Raw genomic sequence first — 8,348 nt, forward strand, 5'->3', positions numbered from 1 at the left:
CAAGGGGCCAAAGAATGGGGAAAGGGGGAGCTGCCAGGTCTCACTGGGAAGATCTAATGGTTATTGGGCCAAGGGGAGTGGAAGGGGTTACAAAGAAAGTGTGAGAATAAATTGGGGAGGGTGTCAAGGAGCAGCAAGGACAATAAGGAGGAGGCTGGGGTGACACTGGAGCACCCTCAACAAAGAGGGAGCATGGAGGCTGCCAGGCCTGGAGACCTGAGGAGCAGCAGGCAGAAGGGGGCCCAGCCCCAGGGAGATGGTGACAGCACAGAGATGCAGCAGGGGCACTGGGCAGTGCCAGGCTGTGAGGCACCAGAATATCCAAATGCACAGTTGGGAGCAGTATCAAGGACTAAGGCAGCTGTGGGGTTTAGGGAGACAGTGAGAGGCACCCCCGAAGCCTACTGGGGCAGAGCAGGAAGGAGCTGGGGCTGGAGCCTGGGGAAGCCAGGACCCTGGGGGAGTCTTTAGGAGCTAGCACGGAAGGCTTGGGGTCTCCCCTGAGGTTTACAGGGCGGGGTGCTGTAGAGGGTCAGGGGATGGGATCAAGAGAGAGGGTGACAGGTCAAGGGGGTCCATAGGGGTGAGCTGAGCTCATGGGCTTAGAGTTGCGTAGATAGACTCTAATCCCAGGTGCAACATTAGCTTGCTGTGTAACCCTAGGCAAGATCTTGAACTCTCTGAGCTGCAGTTGCCTCATGTGAAATGAAGATTGTAACTGAAGCCAGGTGTATCATTTTCCAAGAACTGGGTGGCTCGAAACAACAGAAATGTATTGTCTTACAATTCTGGAGACTGAAAGTCAGAAATCAAGGTGTTGCCAGAGCCATTCTCCTTCCAAAGGCCCCAGGGGAGGACCCTTCCTTGACTCTTCCAGCTTCTGGTAGCCCCAGGAGCTCCTTGGATTGTGGCAGCATTACTCCAATCTCTGCCTCCTTCTTCACATGGCTGTCTTTTTTTTTTTTTTTATTTTTTTTCAGTATAGGGTCTCGCTCTGTCACCCAGGCTGGAGTGCAGTAGTGCAATCTTGGCTCATTGTAGCCTCCACCTTCTGGGCTCAAGCGATTCTCTCGCCTCAGCCTCTCGAGTGGCTGGGATTACAGGCATGCGCCACCATGCCCAGCTAATTTTGTTTTTTTTCTTTTTTTTGAGATGGAGTTTTGCTCTTGTTGCCCAGGTTGGAGTGCAATGACGTGATCTCGGCTCACCGCAACCTCTGCCTCCTGGATTCAAGCAAGTCTCCTGCCTCAGCCTCCCAAGTAGCTGGGATTACAGGCATGCACCACCACCCCGACTAATTTTTTTGTATTTTTAGTAGAGATGGGGTCTCTCCATGTTGGTCAGGCTGGTCTTCAACTCCTAACCTCAGGTTATCTGCCCACCTCCGCCTCCCAAAGTGCTGGGATTATAGGCATGAGCCACTGAGCCCGGCCAAATTTTTGTATTTTTTAGTAGAAGCGAGGTTTCACCATGTTGACCAGGCTGGTCTCAAACTCTTGACCTCAAGTAATCTACCCGCCTCAGCCTCCCAAAGTGCTGGGATTACGGGCATGAGCCACAACGTCCAGCCTATAGTAGATTGATTTATAATCCTTTATACTCGGTAATGGGATTGCTGGGTCAAATGGTATTTTTGGTCCTTGAGGAACCACCACATTGTCTCCCACAATGGCTGAACTAATTTACACTCCCATCACCAGTGTAAAAGCGTTCCTATTTCTCCACATCCTCTCCAGCATCTGTCCTTTCCTGACTTTTTAATGATCGCCATTCTAACCGGCGTGAGATGAAAAGAAAATTTCAGGCCAATATCCCTGATGAACATCGATGCAAAAATCCTCAATAAAATACTGGCAAACTGAATCCAGCAGCACATTAAAAAGCTTATCCACCACGATCAACTCGGCTTCATCCCTGGGATGCAAGGCTGGTTCAACATACGCAAATCAATAAACGTAATCCATCACATAAACAGAACCAACAACAAAAACCACATGATTATCTCAACAGATGCAGAAAAGGCCTTCAATAAAATTCAACACCCCTTCATGCTAAAAACTCTCAATAAACTAGGTATTGATGGTATCTCAAAATAATAAGAGCTATTTATGACAAACCCACAGCCAATATCATACTGAATGGGCAAAAGCTGGAAGCATTCCCTTTGAAAACCAGCACAAGACAAAGATGCTCTCTCTCACTCACCACCTCTATTCAACACAGTATTGGAAGTTCTGGCCAGGGCAATCAGGTGAGAGAAAGAAATAAAGGGTATTCAAATAGGAAGACAGGAAGTCAAATTGTCTCTGTTTGCAAATGACCTGATTGTATATTTAGAAAACCCCACTGTCGAAGGGCATGGTGGCTAAGGCCTGTAATCCCAGCACTTTGGGAGGCTGAGGTGGGCAGATCACAAGGTCAGGAGATTGAGACCATCCTGGCGAACACGGTGAAACCCCGTCTCTACTAAAAATACAAAAAAATTAGCCGGGCATGGTGGCGGGCGCCTATAGTCCCAGCTACTTGGGAGGCTGAAGCAGGAGAATGGCATGAACCCGAGGGCGGAGCTTGCAGTGAGCAGAGATTGCGCCACTGCACTCCAGCCTGGGTGACAGAGTGAGACTCCATCTCAAAAAAAAAAAGAAAACCCCACCGTCTCAGCCCAAAATCTCCTTAAGCAACTTCAGCAGTCTCAGGATACAAAATCAATGTACAAAAATCACAAGCATTCCTATACACCAAAAATAGACAGAGAGCCAAATCATGAGTGAACTCCCATTCACAATTGCTACAAAGAGAATAAAATACCTAGGAATACAGCTAACAAGGGATGTGAAGGACCTCTTCAAGGAGAACTACAAACCACTGCTCAAGGAAAGGAGAGGACACGAACAAATGGAAAAACTCTTTTTAATTTAATAACAGCTGCAAAGCACCTATTTCCAAATAAGGTCATATTCACAGGTACTGGATGTTAGGATTTGAATATATCTTTACAACAACCCTAGGGCGTAGGGTTGCTGTAAGGATTTAACCACAGGCCTAGAACATGGTAAACTCTCAATAAATGGTAGCTTTAAAAAGAAGGGCAGGCTAAGGGAGGCTGAGGGAGCTCAGGCTGGCAGACTTTCCCTGCATGTGTCCACATACTCACACACGCACAGGAGGCAAAGGACCACCCATGGAATCCACCCAGGAGGGCCAGGACAGGGGACTCAGGGGCCTCAGCCTGCACTCACCTGCTCAGCAGAGCTGAGCTCAGGGCATAACGTCAGCTTCCTGGGCAGAAGAGCTGCCAAAATCAAAGCTTTGCTAGTCAGAAAATTCCTTGGGAATGTTGAGCAAGGCCACCACTGACATCATGTGCAAATTCGCAGACAGCCTCTGCACCTAAGGCTACTCAGACCCACAGCCTTGGCTCGATGGGGTGGCAGACTCTGTATGCCACCAGCACACCCACCCACAGGGCAGAGGGGTCAGGACATAGAATCAGACAGGCCCCAGGGACCCCAGTGAAGATTATAGGCAGCCATTCCCCACTCAACAGAGGAGAAGGTCAGAGCCAAGTCTGACATTCCCCCATCCCCTCTCCATAACACCCATGCATCTGGCAGTCAGACAGGCCTAAGCTAAACCTTTCCCCCCCAGCTACCCACCAGGGTCATCCCCAAGCCAGGTCAGGGCCAATGGAGGTTGGGGTGGAGAAGACAGGCTTGGCCCTATTTCCTGCCCAACTCAGAACCTTCTGGTTTCTGCCACAGGATGCCTTGCAAGCTTATCGGGGTCACTGTGGGCAGCTGGGTGAGCTAAGTTCATCTGTGCTGCCGTGACCTCTGTGCAGATGCATCAAGAACACAGAGTGCTCCGGGGTTAGGATGAGGGCAGCGCTGATAAGGTTCATGGAACCAGTGACAGAGCACACAGCTGCCCACAGAGTCACTCCCCTGTGCCCCAGCCTGGACACCTCAGCTCCCTCTCAACCCCTTCCCGAGGTGCTAGATGTATATGGGACCAGAAAGCCCCCTCTGTGTCCTCCTGTGTGAGAGCCCAGCTGCTTAGGTGTTTGTGACTCTGGGCACCTGTGGGCCTGAGATTATGTGTATCTGAGAGATATTCAGGGCGTGCATCTATGAATGTGACCAACAGGCTGCCCTGCCAGGGCAGGCAGGGGTACAAGAGTAGGGGTGGAGGAATTGGGGGATGGGAACAGGTTGCCCCACCAACATCTGGGGCAGGACCATTATGGGCAGAAGGGAGCAAAGGCCTGAGGTGCTCTTGAGGATTTGCAGGGTGGGTTTAAGGGACAGAAAAGTGAGTTGTGAGTGAATGTCAAAGAGGTCGGTGGGCCTTGTGGACTCCTGTAAGAACTTGGCTTCTACCTTGAGTGACAGTGAGCCCTGGGGGTGCTTTGAGCAGAGAAGGAACTTCACGCAGCTTAGCTTTTAAAAGATCACTCTGGCTGCTCTGAGATAGATCAGTGGTTTTCCAAGTGTGGTCCAACAGCAGCACCTGAGAACTTGCAGAAATGCAGATTCTCAGGCGCCCTGCTAAATCAGGACACCAGGGGCAGGGCACAGAGATGGCGTCACAGGAGCCCTCCAGGGATGGCTTATACCCCTCCAGCAGCCTTGCTGCAGGGCTCCTGGAGAACTCCAACCCCACCAGACCCCACCAGATAGCTGCTATGAGCAGAATGAGTTCTGTGGTCAGCTGCATGTGGGAAATGAGGCTCCTGCACTCACACCCCCTAAGTTCTCTCAACACACAGCTTTTTTTTTGTTTTTTCTCTCTTTTTTGAGACTGAGTCTTGCTCTGTCACCCAGGCTGGAGTACAGTAGCGCCATCTTGGCTCACTGCAACCTCTGCCTCCCAGGTTCAAGCGATTCTCCTGCCTCAGCCTCCTGAGTAGCTGGGATTACAGGCGCCCGCCATCACATGCTCAGCTAATTTTTGTATTTTTAGTAGAGATGGGTTTCACCATGTTGGCCAGGCTGGTCTTGAACTCCTGACCTTAGGCGATCCACCCACCTCGGCCTCCCAAAGCGCTGGGATTACAGGCTTGAGCCACCAAGCCCAGCCTAAACACACTGCCTTTTAAAGCTTCTCCAAATCCCACGAAAAAGAAACCAGGTCACCTTTGCTCAGGCCAAGTGAATTATATAATACCCTTTCTTAACTTACTTGACTATGGAATATTTTTTCCAGAGACCACTTCATGAACATAGACCACACTGAAAAATGCTACTTCAGGTACATTTTGGTTTATTTCTCCAGGCTCCTACACTGCGCCTAACACAGAGTGACCACCCAACAACTGCCCTTTGAAAAATGCATGAAGCTCCCCCATGGTGACCCTGATGAAATTCAGGTGATTTATAAACCAACTGACCTTCCCCCAAGCTCTGGAAGGACTTGGCTTCAGCACCTCATACACTGACTCCCTGGGCTCCCCTGGGAGTCCAGGGGTCTGGAGGTTCCAAGCACAAGAAGGGGAAGAGGGAGGGGTTGCCGCCTTGGCTTTCACGGAACAATGACCTCTCTGGTGCTCAGGGTCCCCACCCTGCCTGAGCTCAGGGCCAAGTCACAAGGCAGCTTCCGTAGAAGACTTTTTTTTTTTTTTTTGCCCCGAGAACCCCCCACTCAGCCCAGATGATGTGTTGTTTGTAGAAAGCTTAAGTGGGTCCCAGGAGGTCAGTCCAGCCAGCACCTGCCTCCAGGCTGGGCAGCCACTCCTCTGGTCCTTGCACACAGCCGGGCATCAGGCCTGCCTCAGGGGCCCCTTTGAGGCCTCAAGAACAACTGAGCTCTCCTTTGTTCCCAAGGAAATCTCAGTGGAGGCCCTTTCATTAGTGAGAGGCACCTGGCCATGAAGTTCAAATAGACTCAGAAGCCCGAAGGTCCAGGAAATGCCAGAGGGGCCACAGAATCACAGCTTTCCTCATCACGGGTGCCAGAAGAGCCTTGAAACCACCAGGTCTATGCCTGTATTAACAGATGGAGAATATGTACAACTATTATACATCAATAACATTTTTTTTAAAAACAGGTGGAGAATCTGAGGTCCAGAAACAAGACATGACTGTTATGGTCACACAGCTTGGCTCTCATGCCCTTGGGATCTCCCTGGTCCACGCTCTGGTCAGTTTAATAGTTCTCAGGGGTGTACAGAGCCATCGGGACAGACCTGAGCAGGATGGCCACAGAGGAGGCAGGCAGAGGGAGGGCCAGTCAGGGGCTCTTGATAGTCCTGACTTCATCAGGAATGAGCGCAGGGGAAGGGATCACGATCCCAGGGAGCCAGGCTGCACTTGCGGTAGGGAGGTGGAGGTGAGGGGTGAAGCAGAGCAACCCTGCGGCCCTGCACAGCTCAGCCCGTGTGTGTGACCCTATGTATGATGACGTCCCAATCATGGCACACCATGGCTGCACATGTGTGCCTCTGTGACAAGGTCACAGCCCCCGAGGCACGCTGTGACTACACCATGTATCTAACTGTCACAAGGTGCTGCTATCCCTATGACCAGAGTGGTTGGCCATGTGGCCATGTGTGAAAGGGTGTTTGTGACCCTGGGCAGCTGTGGGCCTGGGATTCTGCATGTATTTGAGAGACCTTCAGGGTGTGCACGTAGGAATGTGACCAGCAGACCACGCTGCCAGACACTAGGCCCTAAGAACTTCCAAACTTGAAATGTCACTTCAGAGTGGCCAGCAGTCTTCTGTCTGCTAAGACACAGGCAGGCTGTGGAAAACTATTTTCTAGATGTTGTTACACAAATATAGAGTGAGAGCCCTTCTGCTGCACAGCTATGGTCATCTTCTGAGGTGGTGGTCAAGGAAGAGAGCGGGAGAGGGACCAGGAGGGGGAACGAGGGTCTGACTGCAGCCTCCACCCCAGCTGAGCTTCAAGGGGCTTCAGTTGACTCCTGACCACACCGTCCACAGACCAGGCTGAGATCAGAGGTGGCCTATCCCAGGGTGAGCTTAGGGAGAGCCATTGGAGAGGATGACATAGACACCCGGGAGGGCCCATGGGAGCTTGCGTATGCATGGGTGGCAGTGGAGTGGCAGAGTGTCGGGACATGGACACTTACAGATCTCCCCAAGGAAGGCTCCTGAAGATGCTCAACTGGGCCCCTAGTAAATGGCCTTGCTCCATTTCCCCTGGCCTTCTCCAGGCCATCTGCTGACCAGCCATCTGACCCTAGCTTTCCACACTCACCTCTTTGCTGACACAACCTGCCCACAAATGGCCCCATCTCTGGGCCCACAAACGGCCCTATCTCTGGGGCCTAAGGACCCACCCACACACACTCACTTGCACATAGTTCACAGATAATCCTCATTTATTTACCCACTCCATTCATTCATGCATTTATTCATATGTTCATTCATTCATTCAACAAATGCTCATTGGGTACCTCTTGTGAGCCACCAGCCCTGCTGAACTTCTCCAACTCCCCAGGTCAGAGAAATGAAGGCACAGTCCCAGTGGACCCCGGTGTGAGTAGCTCAGCAAAGAGGAACCTGGAGGCTGAGTGGGCTGATGGCCGTTAGCTAGGGGGAAGCACTGAGGGGTGTCACAACCAGGCCACTGCATCAAGCTGGATGGGCTTTGGAGATTGGGTAAACACTGTGGCTGCCTTCCCCCAACCCCAGGCTGGATCTGGCACCTAATGAGTCGGGGTTGAGTCCCAAGGCTTCAGAGCTGTCTTCTAATCCCAAAGCCTACAGAACAAGACCCATCCCTTGGATGGTTCTCAGGGCCCCCTCAGTTGGGCCCAGATTGCCTTAGCTGCCCCCATGCCCCCTTCCCACCAGCTACACCAGATAATGTAAGTTCCCTGAAGGCTTGGAGGACTATGGCCTTCCAGCTCCTCCGCATTGCCCCCTCCCAAGGGGGCCTGGAGCCCAGCTTCCAAGGCTCCCCATATCCCCCCAACTTCTCTGCCATGCCTCCTTGCTCACATTTCAGTCATGATAATAGTAATCATAATTAGATCTATCCAGCACCTCCTTGGCACTGGGCATGGATGGGTGATTATTTCCAACCCTCCCATATTCCAAAGCATAGTGGCCAGAGCTGGAGGTGACCAAGAGTGTTGCACTAGATCCCCCAGCCTGGGGCACTGGTCAGCTCCTGGCCTCCTCCACCCCAAATCATCGCCAGCTTGGCTCCTTCTCCTTCAGGACTCACCCTAAACATCCTCTCCTCAGAGAGGCCTCTCCAAGCCTCCAAACAGAGCAGCCACTGTCCTTGTCACTCAGAGCACCATGTGAGCTCTCACCCTCACAAGATTATGTGTCTGGATGGCGTGTCCTTCTGGACATCTGTCTCCCCCACCAAAGTG

The 8,348-nt window shown here is 51.8% G+C and overlaps 1 annotated feature.

Moving 5' to 3' along the window:
• Positions 6,043-6,878: an enhancer, noted in NCBI's record as "H3K4me1 hESC enhancer chr3:52218535-52219370 (GRCh37/hg19 assembly coordinates)". NCBI's record gives its function as "activates a minimal SCP1, AML or CMV promoter by ChIP-STARR-seq in naive and primed H9 embryonic stem cells {active_cell/tissue: H9 hESC(naive and primed)}" and the evidence as "EXISTENCE:reporter gene assay evidence [ECO:0000049][PMID:30033119]".

This window comes from Homo sapiens, chromosome 3, assembly GCF_000001405.40.
Source record: "Homo sapiens chromosome 3, GRCh38.p14 Primary Assembly".
NCBI lineage: Eukaryota > Metazoa > Chordata > Mammalia > Primates > Hominidae > Homo > Homo sapiens.